Source organism: Homo sapiens, chromosome 9 (assembly GCF_000001405.40).
Source record: "Homo sapiens chromosome 9, GRCh38.p14 Primary Assembly".
In the NCBI taxonomy this organism is placed as follows: domain Eukaryota; kingdom Metazoa; phylum Chordata; class Mammalia; order Primates; family Hominidae; genus Homo; species Homo sapiens.
The window spans coordinates 132,223,535-132,244,987 of record NC_000009.12 but is presented as its reverse complement, the minus strand read 5'-3'; the positions used below and the strand labels follow the sequence as shown (position 1 = coordinate 132,244,987).

The window sequence follows — 21,453 nt, the reverse complement described above, 5'->3', positions numbered from 1 at the left end:
ACAAGAACAGTGCTGGGATGTCATTGACGCTCCAGGGCCCCCAGCCTCGTGGATCCGGCCAGGGCTGGCCACTGGGGCTGGGCCCTGCTGTCCCTGTCTCAAGTTCTGCCTCTAGTTCTGCTTCTAGGTGACATTTTATCATCTTGATGACTAGGAGGAAATGCCTGCTGTTTACCGACTGCGGCCAGCGCTGCTGTTTCTCTGGGGTGAGTTCTGCTCAGCTGCCCTGTGCTCACTAGAAGGCAGGGGCAGTCCTGTTCTGGACAGAGGTGGACTCCTCGGCCTGAGTCATGGACATTCCTCTTCCTGGTGACTTGAGGGTCACCATGGGGGGCTGCGGCCAAGGAAGGGTGGGTTTCAGTCTCTCTCTGGCCTTAGAGGGCTCAGGGGGCCCGGATGCCAATCAGGCAGGGCCAAGAACTTGGAAAGTGTGCATGGAACAGAAAACCCAAATTCTAGTGTTTTAATCACATCACCGTTTATTTTTTTTCTCACACAGTAAGACAGGCAGGTGGTGCGGTGGCTCATGCCTGTAATCTCAGCACTTCGGGAGGCCAAGGCCGGAGGCTCACTTGAGCCTAGGAGTTTGAGACCAGCCTGGGCAACATAGTGAGACCTCAACTCTATAAAAATAAGTAGATAAATAAAAGCAGTGCAGAGGTTGCAGCCAAGGCAGGTGTCCCAGGCTCTGCAACTTCCACCCCCGGCTCCACCCTTCACTATCCTGAGGGTGACACTGTTATGCTCAGTGTCTCAAGAAGGCTCCTTCCCCATCCTGCTGACTGAAGAGCAGAGGGAGGGATGAGAGAGAAAAACCAGAGCCACAAACTTGGACAACTGAGGCTTTGTGGGGCGTGGAGGAAGGGATGACTTTTAAGAACTTTCTGGAAGCCCACCCATCAGTCCTGCTTACATCTCACTGCCCAGAGCTGTGTCCCCTGGCCACTCCTATCCACAAGAAGCCCCAGAGAGGTGTTTTATTTTATCTGGGCACTTTGGGTCCCAGGCAGTGGGGTTCTGTGCGTAAGGAAGAATGTGAGGGTAGAGATGGGCCAGCTGCAGGAGGATGCAGGGCCTGTCGGAAGGCACTTCCGGGTCAGCAGGGTGCTGGGGGTGGGAGCAGAGAGAGGAGGCCAGGAGGGGCTGGTGTGTGGGCTCGGGACACTGTGAGTCCTATGCAGTGTCCCGTTGTGCCTCCCCCTCCTTTTCTGTGTTGTAATCTCCTGCTGTCCCCAAGGCCAAGTTTGTTCCACTTGGTCTTAGCTTAGCTTTGGGGACTCAAGGGAAGGACCCAGGTCTAAACCTCGCAGCTGGGAAAGAACAGGTGTGGTGGCAGAAGCCAGTGCTGGGAGCACCTGCAGGTGGAGCAGTGGCAGCAGTTAGCAACCAGGACCGGACCCCCGGCACTGCTCTGAAATAAACATAGGTGGACAGGAGGCTGGACCGAGGGGGAAGTGTGGCCCCAGGGCTGGAGACACCAAGCGGAGATGGGAGAACTGCTGGATCCTCTGAATCAGAGGCCCCAGGGGATGAGCCCCGAATCTAGGAGCTTCCTCACCACTCCCAAGCTGCCCCTGTCCCCTCCAGCACCCCTTCCTAATCTTGAGAAGGTAGGGAGGACAGGGCCGGCACGTCTGGGGTCTCTGCACTGCCCGCCTCTGCCCACCTGGCCATCTGAAACTCTGGAAGGAGGCGGTGGCCGAATTGTGGGTTCAGCTTCATCTGATATTGGACTTGAGGCTCCGGCTGCAACAGGTCTGAGATGACACATCCATCGGAGGTGGCCACCGAGACACAGTATAAATCAGAGCATTGGATTCAACCTCTGCTAGGATTCTCCCTGAGTCATTTCCCTTGGACTTCTGTAGAAAAGGGCCAATACACTCCGGATTTCTTTTTTGGGAAAGGAGGGAGGCAGCCTTTCAGTGTGGGGAGGCTCCTAACAGGTGGGGCACCTGCAGCCTGGCCGCGGGGTGGAAAACTCTGCCAGCCAAGCCTGCGGGGAGGGGGCACTGCCTGCTGGAATCCACAGAAAGGCCCAGGGAAATGGTGGCCCCAGTAGGGAAACCGTTTCTTTAAGGCTGTGTTGTGGATTCCTCTGTAAGCCCCACACCTGCCCACCGTCCCCAACACAGAAAGAAAACAGGCCGTGGAGGCAGCAGTGAGCAAACTCTTTACTCCTCGGATTCTCCACCATCGGCCCCCGCGGTGACCAGTGCTCCCGCCCCGTCCCCCTTGCAGGGGACAGTGAATACAAACAAAAATAGTTCTCTACAGAACGAAGTTTCCAGGCCCCCCACCCCTTCCTTCTCTCCTCCTCCCCCAGACGGTGAGTTCCGTGGTCACCGGGCCTCCGGTGAGGCCTGGGGTCTGGTGGGTTGCAGGAAAAATAAAGAATAGAAAACAGGACCAAGTCAGCGACTGGAATTGTAGGCAACTGGAGGTCGGGGTCCGCCGCCGCCCGTGAGCCTGGCACAGGCCAGGGGGTGTCGGCCACAGTCCCGTGTGTGTAAGTGTGGTGGGAGGCAGGACGGGGTGTGGGGCGAGCAGCGTTTCTCCCGACCCTCTGGCTCACCGCCAGAAAAAAAAAAAAAAAAAGAGAGAGAGAGAAAGACAAAAAAGGAACTGGGCGGCGGATAATACAAAAGAAAAACGAAACCAAATCGCAGGCGCGGGGACCGGAGTCCCAAGGCGCCCCTGCTGCGGGGGGAGGGCAGTGCGGGCGGGAGCGCGGGCCGGGCGGGGGGCCCTGCTGAGTAGCACCTGGGAGCACCTCGGGCCGCACCCTTCTCACCGCCCGGCCTCGGACGCCGGCCCCGCCCCGGGACCCCGGGACCCCCGGCCTCCGGGTGCGGGGAGCGTCCTCCGGGCGGGGCTCAGCGGCCCAGGCGGGCGGCCAGCCCCAGCAGCAGCAGGCAGCCGAGCAGGGTGGCGGGGCGCGGGGCGGCCCCGGGCGCGCGGTCGCAGTCCAGACCGCCGTCATCGTCGGCGGGGTCGCAGCGGGGCTGCTCGCAGCGCACGCCGGTGTAGCCGCGCGGGCAGGCGCAGCGCTGGTTCTGCAGGCAGGTGCCTCCGTTCTGGCACAGCAGCTGGTCGTCGTCGCACACGTTGGCTGCAGGCGGAGGGGGCGGTCAGCACGGGGGGTGGCCCGGTCCCCCCGCCAACCTCCGAGCTCCTGCGAAGCAGGGTGTGCGAGATCCCGGGGGCGCCGTCTGGGCCGGGGATGTAGGAGGCTCCAGGCGCGCTGGGTGCGAAACGTCCCCCCTCGGAGGGTGACGGCGCCCGGGCGAGATCTGGCCCCCGGCTGCCTCCCACCGCTGCCCCTCTCTCCCCGCCCCACTGGCCTCGGTGCTGTTCTTCAGACGCGCCTGCAGTCTCCAGAGCTGTGCACGTGCTGTTCCACGCGCCTGGAGCCTCCTTTCACCCTGTGCCCGCGGCTAACGCCGACTTGGACAGCCTCCCTCCCTCTGTCCCCGCAAATACCTTTCCAACCAACCCCAGCTCGGTCTTTCTCGTAGTTCCCACCAGGCACCACCGTGCCTCAGGTCGCATCAGGCCCCGCCCCGAGCTCTTGGACCCGCCCCTCGGCCCGGCCCCGGACCTCAGCAGCATCCTGTCCCCGCCCACCTGCCAGCTCCGTCTCGCTAGGCCCCGTCCACCGCCCCCGGGTCGGCCCCATCTCACCAGGCCCCTGCCAACTATCCCAACCCTGCCCCGCTCTCACTAGGCCCCACCCACTGCCCCGGCCCTGCCCCGTCTCGCGAGGCCCCGCCCACCGCCTCTTCCCCGTCCCACTAGGCCCCACCCACTTCCCCGGCCCTGCCCCGTCTTGCTAGGCCCAGTCCACCGCCCCTGCCCCGTCCCACTAGGCCCCGCCCACTGCCTCGGTCCTGCCCCGTCCCCTTTCCGCAGGCCCCGCCCACGGGGGACGGCGCGCACTCACGGTAGCAGCCCTGGCGCCAGTAGTGCGTGGGGAGGCAGTCGTCGCACTTGGGGCCCGCCGCGCCCTCGCGGCACTCGCAGAAGCCGGTCTCGTTGCACCGGTCGTGCACGGAGCCTATCTGGTTGCAGTTACACTCTGGACGGACACGGGCACGGGCGCGCGGTCAGGGCTACGTGTGGGCGCCGTCTTCTCGGACCCCCACTCTCCCGGCCTCGCAGGGAGCATCTCCACACTCCCCAGGGGATGCTCCCCACACTGGGTCCACGTGAGCCCGCGGCTGGACGGCAGGTGGGGACTTCCCAGGGTGGCCAGGCCTGGAGAGAAGACTCTGGCTTCCTTCCTTGGGATCAAACACGTCCCAGCCCCACCTTCCCCGCCCTGGCACTGGTGTGGCCTGGGTCAGCCCCTTCCCCTCTCTGGGCAACTAGAGGGGTCGCTGTCCTTCCCATCTCCAAAGAGCTATGACTCCGACAGGTGGCAGAAACTCAGCAGAGGCCACTGAGCATGTCTGGGGCTGCTGTGTTGTGGGGTGGCCCCCCTCCATAGCTCCTTTGCAGGGGAGTGGAGGAACAGCCTATTCCTGCTCCCGGGGTGGGCCCAGTTGGTTGCCTTGGGGCTCTGTGGGAGAGGGTGAATATCGTCCACCCTGAGAAACCTTGCAGCTCAGTGCTGGCTCTCGGGGTGGAGGCAGGGAGAGCCAGGGAGAGGAGGAGGGTGCCAGGGTGTGGGCACCTCTAATTGGATCCAAAGGCCCTGCCCTGTCCCTGCAGCTGGCCCCCTGTGACGTCAGCGGCTTTGATCACTTAGAGTTGATGGAATTATCTGAAGGCTGCCGCCAGAATTCAGACCGACAGCTCCAGCTTTGCAGGAGCCCCTCCTCTGGGCAGCCAGAGCCTCCTGCTGGGTGGGGGATGGGTGATGGTGTCCCAAGGGGCCTGGCTGGGCAGGGTTGGGGGACAGCCCCTGAGGCCGAGACCTGGCCTCTACTGACGACAGGGGCAACCATTCCAGGCTGGTGCGTTTTGGTTGGCGGTCATGGCTTTGGTCTTTGCCCAGGCCCAGGGCCCTGATGGACTTCCTTCTCTACCCAAAAGCCAGTCCTTGAGTAGAACTTGGAAGAAAGCAGACTGGGTGCCCACCAGGGGTGAAGAGCAGCTTTATAGCTGGACCTGGGCTGGTAAAGCATTTGAAGAAAAGCTTCAGCCACAAAAAAGAGCTGAAAACCTTTGATCTGATCTGCCTCCCAATTTGATGAATGAGGAAGCTGAGGCCCAGGAACGGGAAGGGACTTGCACAAATGCACGCAGCAAGGCGATCTTTTGGCCCCCAACTGGGCCCCTGCAGGAGGAGGGATAGGCTGCTCCTCCACCTTTCTGGAAAGGAGCTATGGAGGGGGACCCCCCCACACACCAGCCCCAGACAGATGCTCAGTGGCCTCTGCCACTGAGTGCCTGCCACCTGCCAGAGTCACAGCTCTTTGGAGCCAGGAAGGGTCAGTGTCCCCTCCAGTTGCCCAGAGAGGGAAGGGCCACTGGTAAGTTTTGCAACTCCAGTGCAAAACTTACCGGAGAACCGCAAGGGTAGGTTACTAATAGAGCAGTTTCTGGAGCTTTCTGTCCTTAGAGATGCTCAACTGGAGAGGGCCCTGGAGTTAGAATTCCCACAGTCTCCCCAGGTGATTCTGATGCAGGGGGCCCCAGAGGCCACCTCGCAGGGCAGTGCACCCTGCACGCATTCCAGCAAGTTCCCTGTGCCGTGTCCGTGCCCTCTCACCAATGCAGACGTTCTCATCATCCAGCTCTGCCGAGCCGTTGCGGTAGTAGCCCAGCCGGCAGTGCTGGCAGTGCTGACCTCGCGTGTTGTGCTTGCAGCTGACGCAGGTCACCACATTCAGGAAGTCAATGTAGCTGCAGCGGTTGGAGTGACCGTAGCATTCGCAGTCTGGGCCGGCCAAGTGGGAGAAATACCAATGGTCAGCGAGCATTCAGGGAAACTGAGGGACAGGGCGAGGAAGGACTCACCCCAGGTCATGCAGGGACGGAGGAAGGCATCTTTGGAAAAGGTACCGGAAGGTGCCCTAGGCCTCCCACCCTTCCATCGGATTCAGGAAGAGAGAGGCCTCCCTGCTTTGAGCCCAGAGGAGAACCTGAGTAGGCTGAGCCCAGGGATTCCCACCTGGCCCTGTGGGCAGGGAACCAGGGAGGGCCAGTGGGCAGCTCCTGCTAATGCCTGGCTGGGCACCAGGGCCAAGCGCTCGCTGAAGGATGCCCACATGCCGGGGTGATTAGAAAGTGATTCATGCAAGGAGGGCAGGGTCATGCCACCTGGCTGTGCACTGGGGGAGGGCGACGCCTGGGTTCACGGCGCTCGCCGTGGTATCCTCGGGTAGATGAATGCATGGATGGACGCTGGACAAGATGCAATGGGCCAGGAGCTCCTGCCCATGCTGCTTTGGAAGATGGCTGGGAGGAAAACGCCCACCTGCCAGACCCTTTCTTATTAGCCTGAGCTTTCTGCAAGTTTGATTGTTTTGCAGGATGCTAAGAGTGAGTGCCACTTTAAAGCAGGAGCCCTGGGAACCTGCATGCCTCCCCCTGGTCCTGGCCCGGCTTCTGACTCGCTGCTCCTGGAAGCACATGGTTTCATACCAAGGACCACCACCACCATGTCCTGCCGCCTCCTGCACCCCACCCCTACGTGGTTCTCAGGCTGACCCCTGCCTAACCAGCTCCGCTCCAAGGACCAGACAAGCCCGTGACTGCCTGGGGCAAGGCTCTCAGGGATTGGAGGTGAATCCCACATTGTCAATGGAGGATTTGGTGAGGAAGGTCACCATCCCTAAGAATGGGGGGGCATCCCTTGATGTTCCTACGAAGGGACACAGTACTCACCCACCCACCCACCCTCCAGCAAGAAAGCCAATGTGGCTGCCCCCGAACAAGGAAGGACAACGGCCACCCTCTTGAAACACCATCTGTGTATCTCTAGAGGACCCAGCTTCCCTTTTGTGATGGGATGAGGGACTGACCCAGTGGTCAAGGGCATGGGAGACTAGAGAAACAGCCTGTGCCCAGGAGAGATGGTGGGCACTCCCACCTGTGGGCCACCTAGTCCTGCCCCCTTCACTTTGTCCCTCCAGAGATAATGAGGAGATGAGGCATCCTCTAAGTGTCCCAAAGAGCAGCATCGGTGACCCGTGTGTCCCAGATTCTGCTTCAACCAACACGAGCCCCAGGGCCACACCTCCCAGGGGAGCCGGGATGGGCTATTTCTGGCATCTGCTCTGCCTGCTGTGTGGCCTGCCCACTGTGCCCAAGTTGGCTTCTGACTCATACCTGCTCCCAGCTCCCTTGGGGAGGGAGGCCTGTAGGGAAGAGAGACTCAGTTTAACCTTGACCCAGCTACTCCAGGAGGGTTTTCGGAGCCAGGCATCGGTCCTCTATCCTGCACCGTCTTTTTCCAGCGGCGGATGGGGAACAGGTGTCAGGGAGGGCTGATGGGGCCCCAGGTCCATCCTCTTACCTTGGAATTCTTCAATAGGCATCACTTGAGGAGATTTGGGCTTGAGCTGGAAAAGTTTGTAGCCCTTGGCAGGGGCAGGGGCAGCGGCAGGGGTGCCCACAGCTTGGAGAGATGAGAAACAGGTTCTTTCGTCTGTCATGGTCCCACTGCCCAGGGAAGAGCCCAGCAAAGGCTTCCGAGCCGCCCTGGGCCAGCTCTAGGGCAGGCAGCCTTGTCGCCTGCTCAGATGTGAGGGAGGGAGAGGCCCCTCTGGCCTCAAATCACACAGCCCCTCTCCTCGAAGAGCCCAGGGAGGTGGGGCCCCTTCCTGAAGGAAACACAGCACATCCCAAGCTTGCAAATCAGCCCTGCCCTTGGTCCCCTCTCTGAGACCATGGACACATCTGGCTGGATTAATCCTCCAAATGACTTCTGTAACCCCTGACACCCCCGCGCCCTGCTAAGACCTTCTTGGAAGCCAAACTGTTTTTAGATAGATTGACATCACATTGCACACCACGCCCGTCTCTTGCTCTCCCCACCGCCTCTCCAAACTTCCTGGAGCATCAAACCCAGAGACTAAACTTGGCATTTAAGGACTTTGGCATCTCCCTTCCTTTCTGAAACACTCTTCCTGCTCCAGCCGAAGTGAATCCTTCGCTGTCCCTGGAGTCCCACTCGCAAGTGCTGTCAAGCCAGGAACACGGACGGCACCTGCCTTCCACTGCCCAGAATCCCGCTGGGACCCCAACGCCCTATCTGTGGGTGAGCAGGCCACTGTCCCGGGATCGTCACTACCTTGGCTTCCCTCTGGGGGTCTGTGGTGCCCTGGTTGGCCCAGGGTAGGGAAGCGATGGCTCCCGCCAGCTCTGTCTCCATCACCACAGAGGACACCAGGCCCAGGTCCTCCAGGTTTCTAGGAACCGAGCCTCAGACCCTCTCTAAACATGCTTCCAGCGCCAGAGCTTCCTGCCAGTAGAGGGCGCTCAAAGCCCTGCTCGCTGCTCAGAGCTGGGGCTGGAGGAAATTTGAACATGTGAGCTGGAAGGAACAGCTCACCTGTTCCCTAGACCTCAGGCCCTAATTCCCCACCCAGGCTTGGTGAGCTGGGGCCAGGGACAATTTCCCTTCTGGAGAGTCGGGCAGGCCTGCGCGTTTCCTTGGCATGTCTGTCTATGGCTACAGATGAGCCCTGTGTCTCCTCCCACGTAGCAGGAGGATGTCAGTGTCTTCCAGGACCCCGCCCTCCCTCCTTTAACCCACACATTTTCCACTTTGTCAGGCTCCCTGCCATCCCACTGCCAAGCCTTTGCCCCGGCTGGCCCTGCGGCCTGGAATGTGCTGCCTTCTCCCTTCACCCACCACAGTCCACCCTCCGAGGTCTCATGGCCCCCGCTCCTGCAGGAAGCCCCCTCTGACTCTCTGATCCAGCAACTGCCCAGGTGTCCTGTGAGCAAGGGCAGCTGGAGAGGGGGGTTCCTGTCGTGGGAGGCGGGGCCTCTACCAGACTCCGAAGCCCTCGGAGGGAGTGCTGGTGGAAGGGCTTGGCGTGGGGGTGCCACATGGAACCTCTTGAAGCAGGTGAGCTTGGGGGCAGAGCTGGTAGACCTGCTCTACCAGGCCGCTCCCTCACCACTGTGCCCTAGAGCTCCCCAGGCACCGACATTCTACACCCGTGCCCTCAGTTGGTTCCTGCGGCCCCCCTCCAACCTCAGGTCCCCACCATGCACACCTGCTACTTCCACTACAGAGGGAGGGGCCTACGAGTCTAAGAGGGCGCTTCCCCGGGGTCTCAGGCCCATCACAGGCCTTGCCCCCCCATACCTTCTGCACGGGAGGCCACCTGGGACCACCTGCTCGAGAGAGGGGCAGCCGTAGATGGCCTGGTCCACTCTTGGGGGGAAGAAGAGAAGAAACCAAGTTATGCGAGGGGGTGGTGCTGAGGGAAGCTGGGTACATACTGAGGCATCACAGCCCCGCACCCCACAGGCCCCTTAGAAGCAGCAGCACTATAAGGAGAGGCTCTGTCTACACTGGCCAAAGGAATTGGGTCCAAATCTACTACATAGGCAGCATCTACACTATTTCAGCCTGTGGAGGGCACATGCAGACTTAAAGCCCGATAGATGAGAGGTGAACCCATGCCTGAGAATCTGCATATTCTTCAGCGAGACCCTTCTACACTCCCTGTGCCGTCCCCGTTCTGACTGAAGGACAGAGCTAGACCAGGTCCCGCCTCTGGGCCCAGACCTCTCTGAGCTGATGTCTCTGGCTAATGGCTGCGAAGTGGGACATGTGTTCCGGCCAAGATCTTACATGTGTCCAGAAGTGTCCTGGAAGGTGTCCTTCCTGTCCAGCCGCAATCCAGGGACCGGAGCCTTCCCCAGCATCTGACCTGCTTCCCTGATCACTGCCCTTCTACCTTCCTGACCCCTGGCCTGGCCCATTTTCACCAGGGACCCCAGCATGAACCAGTGACACAACGCTCAGCCCGTAGACTAACGGGACACACAGCCAGCAAGGCAGGCAGGCAGGGCTGGCAAAGAACTGCCCTGTGCCCAAATTTCAAAGGACAAACCCAGAGGGACAGGGGAGCGCTGCTGTTTTCCGCTTCTTGAAGGGATTATACACAACGGTGGCTGTGGGGAAAGAAAAGGAAAAGCTACCAGCTAACAAGTGCGGAAGACTTTCCAGCTGGGAGCGGGGAGCTTTGGACATGAATTGACTTTAATATGATGTTCAGTGGGAAGATGAGGCCGCCAGGCCCAAATTGGCAAGGGCTTAATTAGAGCCATGAGAAAGCCAGCCCTGAAGGCATTTGCTTCAGAGCCTGTCTCCCTCCATCCTCCGTGGCCCAGCCCAGGAAAGGATTAGTGTCTCCAGCGGCGTTTTCCGCCCGCAGCGCTGTCCTCCAGACAGCTTGACATTGGCAGGCGGGAGAAACATCTGGCCCAGGAGTTCAGAGGCCCAGCTGGACTCTGTTCAAAGAGCCCGAAGCACCTGTTGGGAGGCACTCGGGGGTATTCAGGATCTTTCAGGGACCAGGGTCTTGGGGAGGGAGAGAGTCCTGGCTTGGCTGCCCAGGGACACACTCAGGTGTGTGGGAAGCAAGTTCTCGCCATGGCCTGTGTGCTGTGCCAAGGCCCCATGGAAGCCCGGTCTGCTCCTTTGGAACTGGGAAGCCCTGCAAGCCAGGCCTTGGAGACAGCACTACTTGGCCGGGTGCGGTGGCTCACGCCTGGAATCCCAGCACTTTGGGAGGCTGAGGCGGGTGGATCACTTGAGGTCAGGAGTTCAACACCAGCCTGACCAACATGGTGAAACCCTGTCTCTCTAAAAAGACAAAAAGTAGCTGAACATGGTGACAGGTGCCTGTAATCCCAGCTACTCGGGAGGCTGAGGCAGGAGAATTGCTTGAACCTGGGGGGGCGGAGGTTGCAGTGAGCTGAGATTGCTCCATTGCACTCCAGCCTCAGCGACAAGAGCGAAACTCCATCTCAAAAAAAAAAAAAAAAAAGATAGCTCTACCTCATAGCCCCTGGAGGCCTCAGGACAATAGCTTTGGGTGGCTGAGTTGGCGAGCCCTGAGTTCAAATCCTGCCCGTGCCTCTCCATAATTCTGAGACCTTGAGCAGCTGCCCCTTTTTTCTTCTGAAACAGCTTGATTGAGGTGTAATTTACATATCATAAAATCCAGCTGCTTCTTCCTAAGCCTCGATCCCCTCACCTGTGGGACTAGGAAAATAACAGCCTCCATCTCACGGAGCTGTGAGCCCAGAATACAATGATATGATGATACAATGATACGAGCACAGCCCAGGAGAACTCACCCTCAGCTACTGCAATGATCGTTTTCATTAATGGGGGCTCTGGACAGGGGCTTCAGTTGCTGAAGAGGAGGGAGGAGCCCCTAGATGTGGGCTGTAGGGGCCACTGGCTGTCACATTGGAGCCACCTCCTCCCCTAATGTCCTGCTTCTTGATACAGGGCTGAGGGTGCAGAGCAGCACTGTCTTGCCGAGAGGGAGGGTGTGCCTTCTGCTCACTGAGGGGGTCCTGGGGACCCTCACCTCCCCTGCATTTCCCACTCTGGCCTCTGACTTTTCCTCTTTAATTCCCAACTTTGCACAATCTGCCCAGCCTCCCACGGCTGCCCTGGCACCAAGTCAGAAGCAGCTCTGCAAATGGATTCCTCTGTGTGTGTGTGTGTGTACATGTGCGTGTGCATGCCTGTGTGTGTGCATGCATGTGTGTGTGTGCATGTGTGCACTTGCACATGTGATATGGAGAGTATCTGGCCTCCCAGCCAAACCCCTGTTTGGAGACAGGCACAGCACCCACCACCACTGTTTTTGCTTCTGTCTGCCCACCACAGGCTCAGCAGCAAAGCACAGGTCCCTTGTGGCTGGGCCAACCTATGTCTGAAGTCCAGAATTCTCAGAGTGACCCATGTCTTCCACCCCAAAGAGGATTCCTGGGTCAGGAGGCTTCCCGGAAATCCTCCAATCTTTTGGCTAGCCCCTGCCTCCTGTAAATGCCTCCTGCAGAAAAGGAAGGATGTAGAAAGAGGTGGGGTGTGCTGCCCCCAGGGGAGCTGCTCTGGATGGCCTAGGAAGGAGGAGGTCTTTCTCTCAGCATTTGCCCCTGTCTGGGGAGCCTGAGTGTCCACCCAGCAACAGGCCGAGGCAGGAGCTGATGGAGGGGACTCTGCCCTTTAGAAATGCCACCCCCCAAGGGGGAAGGATCAGTGGGGCAGGTCTCCTTGGATCAGAGAGATGGAGGGCCAGGGCACTACCCAAGGGGCCAGGAGTCCCCACCAGGTCCTCCCTGCAGGGTGGCGGGGGACAGGGTGTGGCAGGCTATTGGAGCACCCCTCCCTGGCTGGGACCAGGAAGAATTCCCCTTGGTCATCGTCTTCCTGGTGCCCTCTGGGAAGGATAAATCCTTTCAGACCCCTGGCACCTGCACTGCACAGAGTGCAGGGATACTCCCCAGGTGAGTCCAGGTGAGAGCAGAGGCCCACTCCAGCACCCCCAGCCTTGAATACACGTGAATCCCTCCGTTGGAGGGGAGCGAGAATCAGGTTTCCATGCCTGTCTGTGGCAGACCCCTGAGGGGGCAGGACGTCTGGCCCTGGCCTGGCCTTGCACTACACACACAGCCTCCACATTCCCAGCAGCCCACGGTGTCCAAACTCAGCTCCAGAGGCTCCCTTTGCCCTGCTGATCAGAGACATTTGCTTTCTGGGCTAACCCTGCTCCATCCATCCCACCGGTGTGCTGCTGAGGGGCTAAGGACAGAGAGGCCCTGGGGGCCAGGTGGGGACAGGGTGTGGGCGGGGCTCCAGGGACCACGGAGGCAGAAGCACCATTGGGAGATAAGGCCAGTCTTTGGCTGCATGTCAGGATGGCCTCGCTGCCCCCAGCACCTTTCCTCTCAGTTCCTGCAGCCGTCTGGCCACAATGGTCTGGGAGCCCTTCCAAGCAATGGCTTGAAGGGCAGGAGGAAGACGACTTTGGAAGCTGAACTGATCCCTGAATCCCCTGGCTGGGCTCAGGAACAGGTTGACCCAGGTGTCCTCAAGCCCCTTTGGCCTGTGGCCTCCCAGCTCTAGGGTTCTAGCGTCTCTATTCTAAGAGCCAAGCCCCTGCTCTCTGCCCAGGGCTGCCGACCCTCCCACCCCAAGAGAGGCAGGGACCCAGGCTAGAAGCAGGAGAGGGTGGGATGACAGGGGTCGCTGTACCCTGGCACCCACCTGTGGGCTGTGGGGTGCTGGGCGCCATGGGGGCCCAGGCAGTGGACGTGGAGGGGACAGGAGTAGTAGGGGCCCCTGTCATGGCTGTGGTGGCCGCAGTGGCCACAGGGCCTTTGGGGTCGGGGTCTTTCTGGGACCTGCTGATGCCTGGTGAGAGATGGGAAAAGCAAGAGAGGGTTGGGGGGTTGCCGGGGTGGGGACACCACAGAGAAGCAACTTACGACGGCTGTGCAGACCAGCGTCCCTGCAGGGTCCAGCTTCTTTCTGGCGCCCTCTCGGCTCACTGGCTTCCCAGCCAGGGGCCCCCTGGGTCCGGGAGGGACAACTTGGGTGGGATGTGGGGCCCCACAGAGCCCTGGTGGAGGGTGACGGTGCACCCCAGAAGCATCTCTGAGATTTGGGGTCTGCTCCCGGCTGGCTCTTTGACATTGGCCAGTCCTCTCCTGCTGCCTCGCAGAGCAGATGGCGACCTCCCAGGGGGAGGGGTTTGCAAGGCTGAAAGGAGAGACCGTGCCTGGCACCCTGTGAGTGTCTGGGGACAGTCTCGATGACATTTACTGATAACCTGTGGGCGCCATGTCGCCCTCGCCCTCCTGGGGAACTCTCAGGACCCCCACCTCCTGCAGATGCCCCTCCCTGGTCCGACTCCCCTGGGACCTGAGCTGACCTGGACGAGCAGAGCCCTGGGACAAGCTGGCTGCAGAGGCTGCCCAGAGGGAGGCTGCCCCCATGGTTAGGCTAGGGGGTGGATTCTGCCCCTGGTGGGGGAAGGTCACCCCACTCTTGACTGGCAGGAGAGACTGCTCTCCCAGATCCAGGTGAGAGAAGTGGCGTGGGTGGCAGGAGGAGCAGGGAGCCCACCCAGGGGCCAAGAGACCTGCAAAAAGTCCTGTCCCGTTTTCCAAAGCAGCACTGATGGAGCTCCTGGGAGAGCCTGAGAGTTGCTGGGCCACAGGCCACAGCAAAATGACACATGACACATGGCATATGATGTGAAGTGGGGATGGGTGGAGGGGGGGAGGTGGAGGGGGGAGAGGTGGAGAAGCAGATGGGGTGTAATTAGAGGAGGGAGTGAATAGGCCCAAGTCCCAGAGGGGACACTGAAGCCCCTTTTTTCTCTCCAGCTTTTTCCAGGACATGCAAAGAGGCTCGTGCAGTGGGGGCCCTGGCCACCCTCCCCAGGCGTGTACTTACTGCCAAAGGAACCTGCAGTGGCACCTGTGGGAGAGAGACGGGCGTGAGCTGGCTGCCCCAGGGGAAGGGGCCTGGGTGTCACCTCCCTGCAGAGGGGCCAGCAGGGCAGGGGAGCACCTGGAGGTGTCGCTCCCTCAAGAGCACCTGCTCCACCACACAACTGCTAGCAATCATGATGACCTGCAGGGTGTGGGGACGGGGGTGGATTATCCCATTTCATCCTCACTTCAGCCCTGGGAGGGAGGAACCACTATTGGCCCATTTTGCAGAAGGAGACACTGAATCTCAGAGCCGTGACTTGCCCTTGGGGACATGCTGGACAGGTGCCAAACGCTCCACTGGGAGCTTCACACGCACTCCTCCTCTTATTTCAGATTTTTGGGCCCTCCAGTGCAGGACAGGGACATCGTATGGAGTGTTCCTGTCTAAGAAGTGCAGTGTGGCTGGAAAACTCACTGAGAAGCCATGGGAGCGGCTGCCGCGGGTGGAGTGCGTCCCACGTGCCAGGCACGGTGTCAGCATCCCCTGCGTAAATCGTGCCGTCCTCACAAGAACCCTATGAGGGAACTTCCTTATGGTCCTGATTCTACAGCTGAGGACACACGGCTTGGGGAGAAATATAGCCGAGAGTGGGCGAGGCCTGACCTGAATCCAGGTGTGTCTCTGTGTGTCCAGGGGATGGGGGAGGCCTATGATCCTGGTGTGACCAGGGGCCTTGAAATCCCTGGGTGAGATTCATCAGAGTTGCAAAAGGAAGGAGCTGGTGCCACAGCTTTCCCCACGGTGTTCCCGAGAAAGGACGCTGTGGGATTGGCAGTGGGATGTGTGGCCCATGGGCTTCTCCTGGGCAAGCCAAGGCTGTGGCCAGCAGGACAGGCAGGGAGGCCTGGGAGGACAAGCCCATCCCCACCCACTCCTTCCTCCACCTCCATGTCTGGGCAGCCACCTGCTAGACCCTGAGGACACCTCGGGGTGCAGCCACAGTAAGCAAGGGCCAGGACTGGGTGGTGACCAAGTGAGGCTCTGTGGGGACAGGCGGGACATCAGGCAGGGCACGGGGAGGTCCTGGGGGCTCCAAGTTGGGCCCTGGAGGGTGATGGGCTGGCCAGGTGGGGGCAGAGTGGTGAGGAGGTGGGAAGGCATCGGGAGTGAGGGCTGCTGCAGGGCTGAGGATGGCATTGGGAGAGACTTGGAGCGGATGGAGGGAAGTTCAAAGAACGTGGCGGGAGGAGGGTCTCCAGTCAAGGTGACCCCCAGACTTGCACTTGGCCCCGTGGGTGTCGGTGCCACTTACTGAGGAGGGGTCACGGTAGGGGCAGGGTGAGGGCAAAATTAGCCTCTGTGTCTCTTTGGGCTGTTTCCTGCTGGCACCCCAGAGAAGGCAGGAGACTTGGGTGCTGAGGACAGCAGCGCCTCCAGCCTCACCTGTGACCCTGCAAATGCCAGAAGAAACCCCTCCTTCCTGGGGCTTGGGGGCCTCAAAGGCAATTCCCGGGGACTCCCAGGGAAGCAGGAGGTGGGGCCAGCTCAGGAGTCTCCCCTAAGTAAGGAAGACCCAGCTGCCCAGCCCCTACAGGCCTGTCTATCCATCGCTGGCTAGACTGGAGGTGGTGACTGGGGGTGAGGGTGGGGACAGTGGATCCTCCTAGGTGTGACTGGCAGGTAAGAGTCTCAGGTGGCCAGAGATGGGCAGAACCCTCCAGGCGCAGGGGGCAAGTGGAAGAAAAAAGCCAGACATGGCCAGACGTGGTGGCTCATGCCTGTAATCCCAGCACTTTGGGAGGCCAAGGCAGGAGGGTTACTAGAGCTCAGGAGCTCGAGACCAGCCTGGGCAACATGGCAAAACCTTTTCTCTGAAAAAAACACGAAAATTAGCTGGGCCTGGTGGTGTGCACCTGCAGTCCCAGCTACTTGGGAGGCTGAAGTGGGAGGATCGCTCAAGCCCAGGAGGTTGAGGTTACAGTGAGCCATGACTGCGCCACTGCACTCCAGCCTGGACGACAGAGTGAGAGACTTATCTTTAAGAAAAAAAAAAAAGGAGGGTGTGATGGTGGAGAGAACTGAGACAGAGAGGAGGGAAGAGAGAGCGGCCCTCAGGACAGACGAAAGGGCAGCAAATTTGTGAGTCAGGGAGAGAGTGACGGCCACTAAAGAGAGACCTCAGGAAAGGGTTTGGACCACAAAGAGATGGGGACAGGAAGCTGGGAGGAGGCAGCGGCTGGAGTGGGCTGTCAGCCCCCGGAGTGCTCTTTGTGCCTTTGAAGACCCGAGAGTGCTGTCGGGTGCCTGCCAAGTCACCCCTTCAAAGGCCTGTCTCACCGCCTGCTGTAGCACACGCGTGACATGCCTGTCATGGCCTCTGCACGTGGCTCTCAGCTTTGATCAGCCTAAAGTCACATAAATCTTTCACCCGTCGAGGGAGGATGCCCAGATGGGGTGCAGGAGGCCACTGCCCAGGCCTGGTCTGAGCATCAGATCCAGTAGCTGCCCTAAGCCCTGGCGTTGGCATGCAACTCACTGTGAAACCTGGGAGGGCCCCGAGGTTCGCTGGGCCTCAGTCTGCTCATCTGGAGAAGGGACCGTAATAAGGACTCCACCCTGCGGGGCTGTGTGAGGGTGAAGCGAGATGCACAAAGTGCCTAGGAGGGCCTCGGACACCAACCACACACTTGAGAACGGCCGTAAAGTGGCAGTGGTGGGGGTCAGGGAGAGCCCACCCCAGGGGCAGTCTGTGGCCTTCTCCACTTGCAGCCCAGGGGCTTCCTGGCATTCTGATTTCATGGAGACAGTGTGGACTACGCTAGCGCGCCCGGGTGGGTGGTCCTCAGAAGGGGGTCTATGATGCAGATGTGAGTGGGCAGGCCCTGAGGATGGCTCCCTGGCATGGCTGGGCGAGGACAGGAGAGGGGTGGGCAGAGAGCACGTGCGGGGGGACTCTGGTGCAGGCCGTAGAGGACACATCTGTAAAAAGGGATAACGGAAGCTCAGTTCCCAGGGGTTGCTCTGAGGATGGAGGTGAGTGCTGAACACGCAGCACTTGGCCTTGGTGGCTCGCTCCAAACACCCCAGAGATGCTTATGATCAGGGATGATGCTACTGATCCCCTCACCTGAAGTGGGGGTCCCACCCCATCACTCCCTGCCATCCCATGGGGGCCACCTGCCAGCCTTCAGGGTCAAGAAGGCGAAGGGTTGCAGGAATGCTGCTGAGCAGCTCCTCTCGGGTTTCCCTGTGGACCAGGGCTGGAAGGGCAGCTTAGCATTCAGCAGGATGCAGGTATGCTAGAGGGACTTGTTATGAGACCTGGCGTTTGGGAGCTGTAGAACAAGGTGTGTGTGTGGGGGTGCATGCACGCACGTGTGTTTCTGTGCATGCACGTGTTTTTGCATTCATATGTGTGCCCATGCCTGTGCATGCATGCTCGTATGTTTCTGTGTGCACGTTTGCATGCATGTGCACACGTATGTGCCTGTGTGCAGGTTTGTGTGCGTGTGTATGATCCACAGCTCCTGGGATTGACGGGCAGGGAAGATTATAGCCATGTGGGCTCGTGGCCCCGGGGCATGGCACGTACAGGCGTTGGGAGAGCCATGGGGCAGCGGCAGGTAGGAGCCGGCCCGCCAGGACCGGGTGCGGAAATTCTTCTTGCACTTGCCGCAGTCGGGGCCGGTGGTGTTGTGCTCGCACTCGCACTGCAGGCTGCCCTCGCGCATGGAGCACAGGTTGGCGTGCAGGTTGCACTTGCACCTGGGGAGACACCGAGAGGGCAGAGATGTCAGAGAGCTTGTGGGCAGCCTGGCCTGGCCTCTGGGGAAAGGAGCGCCTCCCAGGAGGGGCCCAGGAGGGTGTTGGGCTGCCCAGGAAGAAACCCTGGAGGCCACCAGCCCAACCTTTAGGCCAGAAACTCCTTGATTCCCCTTCCTGCAGAGAGATCAACGCCGTGTTCCAAAGGCCACACCTGCAGTCACTGCGCGGCTCTCCTCTCTGCTCTGATGCTGGTTTCAAGGATTCCTCACATCTCAGTTGGGGAGAGTGATGATACTGCCTTGTCCCAGATGCTAGATTCTTAGTAATGCAGCTTCTGATCACCCTAGCCTTTGACTGATGTGGGTTGATGGGTGACAGAGGCTGCTGCCAGCACCTGGTGTAGACAGAGACTTGGCCATGGGCTGCACTTCATTGTGTAGAAAGGCACCTGGCTTCAGGCTGGACCTCTGCTGTCAGGTTGTGGCCCACAGCCACGCCCTTGAGGGCAACAGATAGAACCCCCAACTCCCACACCCCCGTCAGTTCATTCACAGGTGTATTATTCATCCATTCATTCAAATATTTATAGGCGACTCATTATTCTGAAAACTGGTAAATAAAGGGAAAGAATCAAGCATTTATCCTGCCTGTCCTATATAAACTGTACCTCGGGGTAACCGAAAGTTGATGAGGGGAAGCTTCTTTTTATAGAAGCATTTCACGAGAGAATTTGCAGTCCCTGATGAATGCATAGCTCCAGGCACTGAGCCGCACCAGCCCAGAACTTCCCACTGAGAGGCCAGCAGACAGTGAGCGTCTCTAGAAGAACACACCCCCACCCGAAGCCAAAGCAACTGAACCTGAATCAGATCAAGCCTCTAGACCCAGCTGTGAGCGCACAGGAAAGACAGAGGACAGAGCATCACCCTGAACGACACCAGGGGATGCCATCCGCAAGATCTGGACTCGAGGAAACTCCGGCAGTAATGACCCACTTCTTCCAACAGATGAGTTGCGTGGAGAAAAAATTGATACGGAAAAAGGATGGACCTAGAGCAAGAGAAACCTCAAAAGCATACCAATTAATGGCAGAAGTGAAGCTCCTCTGGTCCTTGGTTCAAACATCCTGTAAAATCAAACACGCAAACAAATGGAACGTATATTTATGAGATAACTGGAAATTTGGACATTGCCTATATTAGATACTAATGTTTACTAGGTGTGATGATGATATTGTGGTTATGTTTTTTAAAGTCCTTATCTTTTAGAGAACCACACAGGCTAGGCGTGGTGGTGCACACCTATAATCCAAGCACTTTAGGAGGCTGACGCAGGAGGATCAATTGAGCCCAGGAATTTGAGGCCAGACTGGGTAACATAGTAAGATCCTGTTTCTACAGAAAATAAAAAAATTAGCCAGTGTGGTGGCACATGCCTGCAGTCCTAGCTACTCAAGAGGCTAGGGCAGGAGGATCCCTTGAGCCCAGGAGTTCAAGGCTGTAGCAAGCCATGTTTGCACCACTGCACTCCAGCCTGGGAGACAGAGCAAGACTCTGTCTCCAAAAAAAACAAAACAAAACAAAACAAAAACAAACAAAACAAAAACAAAAACAAAACAAGACAAAACAAAAGGGCCAGCCATGGTGGTTTATGCCTGTATTCCTAGCACTTTGGGAGGCCAAGGCAGGCAGATAACTTGAGGTCAGGAGTTCAAGACCAGCCTGTCCGACATGGTGAAACCCCATCTCTACTAAAAATACAAAATTAGCCAAGTGTGATGGTGCACCTGTAATCCCAGCTACTGGGGAGGCTGAGGCAGGAGAATCGCTTGAACCCAGGAGGCAGAGGTTGCAGTGAGCCATTGCACCACTGCACTCCAGCCTGGGAGACAGAGCGAGACTACATCTCAAAAGGAAAAAAAAAAGCAGAGAGAGATACACATAGAAATATTTACAGATGAAATTATCTGATGGGCAGAGGTACAGATGAAACAAGAAGATTCACTAGTTGGTAACTGCAGTCGGGTGAGAGGTACACAGAGGTTCATCATGGCAGACACCATCTTCTTTTGTGTTGGAAATTCTCCATAATAAAAAGTGAAAGAGAGACAGAGTGTGCTCTATATTCTGATATGGGAAGATTTCCAAGATATATTGTCAATATTTGGAAAAAGCAAATTGCAGAGCAATGGGTTTAGTAGAATCCTATTTTTATTAAAATATGCAAAGAAAAATATTTATCAGGCACCTGTTATGTGGCAGGGGCTCTGAGCTGGGAACAGTGAGTATAATGTCAACAAAGCAGATGGCTCCCTGACCTGATGGTGCTTCGGGTCTAGCAGGGAGACAATGAACAAAATCAGTGATTGGAGGGGACAGGGAGGGAGGATAAATAGGTGGCACACAGGGATTTTTAGGGCGGTGAAACCATTCTTTATGATGCCACAATGGTAGATATGTGGCATTATGCATATGGCAAAACCCACTGAAGTGTCCAACACAGAGTGAGTCCTAATGTAAATAACAGGCCCTAGTGAATGACACTGTATCAGTGTTAGCTCATCATTGTAACACATATACTCCAAAATAGGGGAAACTGTGCAGGGGGGTGGGGAAATGGGAACTTTCTGTACTATCTGCTCAATTTTCTGTAAACTTAAAACTGCTCTAAAAATAAAGTCTATTAATTATAACAATACGAATCACACACCTCTTCCAGTGTTCAACTGTTAAAAGAGCCCACGGGTTGTGCAAAGAAGAAGGCATCACGGGAGTCCACAGTTTCCAGGAAGAACAGTTTTAAACTAAGACCTGAAGGAGGATCAAGAGTTGCCGGGCCAGAAGGGGAGAACCTTCTAGAAAGAGGCAAGAGCATGAGGAAAGCCCTAGGGCTGAAAGAAGTTCCACCCGTGAGGTCTGCAATGAGGCTGGGGGGTGGAGGAGGCCAGACCAGGAGACGGAGGCGGGATTTTACTCTGCAAGCCTTTGACTGGTTAGGCGTGTCCTGCTCTGGGCCATATTTTATAACGCTGTGGCTGCTTCATGGAGACTGGTTTGTCTGGGAGACAAAAGCCTGGGCAGGGAGAGATCAGTGAGATCCTGCGAATAGAGGCCTGGACCAGGGCAGGGCACCTGGGCCCACCCGTCCCGCCTGGGGTGTGCGGCATCTTTTTGTGTTTTGAGACAGAGTCTCACTCTGTCACCCAGGCTGGAGTGCCGTGGCACAATCTTGGCTCACTGCAACTTCCGTTTCCCCCTGACTGGCTCTCGTCCATTCAGAGATTGTTTTGAGGATGTGTAACTGGCATTTTCTTC

At 58.3% G+C, this 21,453-nt stretch overlaps 1 protein-coding gene across 23 annotated transcripts in view, besides 4 other annotated features; it reads right to left on the bottom strand.

Moving 5' to 3' along the window:
- Positions 462 to 21,453, bottom strand: part of NTNG2 (netrin G2) — an 82,838-nt gene continuing 61,846 nt past the window's right edge. For 14 of the 23 annotated variants that reach the window (XM_011519096.3, XM_017015213.2, XM_047423970.1 and 11 more), the window contains 8 exons: positions 17,967 to 18,139; positions 14,393 to 14,416; positions 13,199 to 13,345; positions 9,269 to 9,337; positions 7,466 to 7,567; positions 5,717 to 5,884; positions 3,944 to 4,078; positions 462 to 3,112 (listed from right to left, as the gene is read on the bottom strand). In XM_011519096.3, coding sequence (XP_011517398.1) covers positions 2,877 to 3,112; positions 3,944 to 4,078; positions 5,717 to 5,884; positions 7,466 to 7,567; positions 9,269 to 9,337; positions 13,199 to 13,345; positions 14,393 to 14,416; positions 17,967 to 18,139 — 1,054 coding nt within the window. In that variant the 3' untranslated portion in view covers positions 462 to 2,876. The other 9 variants (XM_011519107.3, NM_032536.4, XM_011519106.3 and 6 more) reach the window with 8 other exon arrangements.
- Positions 2,729 to 2,798: a silencer, noted in NCBI's record as "silent region_20428". NCBI's record gives its function as "represses an Ori minimal core promoter by ATAC-STARR-seq in GM12878 lymphoblastoid cells {active_cell/tissue: GM12878}" and the evidence as "EXISTENCE:reporter gene assay evidence [ECO:0000049][PMID:35858748]".
- Positions 3,269 to 3,318: a silencer, noted in NCBI's record as "silent region_20427". NCBI's record gives its function as "represses an Ori minimal core promoter by ATAC-STARR-seq in GM12878 lymphoblastoid cells {active_cell/tissue: GM12878}" and the evidence as "EXISTENCE:reporter gene assay evidence [ECO:0000049][PMID:35858748]".
- Positions 3,469 to 3,958: a silencer, noted in NCBI's record as "silent region_20426". NCBI's record gives its function as "represses an Ori minimal core promoter by ATAC-STARR-seq in GM12878 lymphoblastoid cells {active_cell/tissue: GM12878}" and the evidence as "EXISTENCE:reporter gene assay evidence [ECO:0000049][PMID:35858748]".
- Positions 4,747 to 5,264: an enhancer, noted in NCBI's record as "H3K4me1 hESC enhancer chr9:135115111-135115628 (GRCh37/hg19 assembly coordinates)". NCBI's record gives its function as "activates a minimal SCP1, AML or CMV promoter by ChIP-STARR-seq in naive H9 embryonic stem cells {active_cell/tissue: H9 hESC(naive)}" and the evidence as "EXISTENCE:reporter gene assay evidence [ECO:0000049][PMID:30033119]".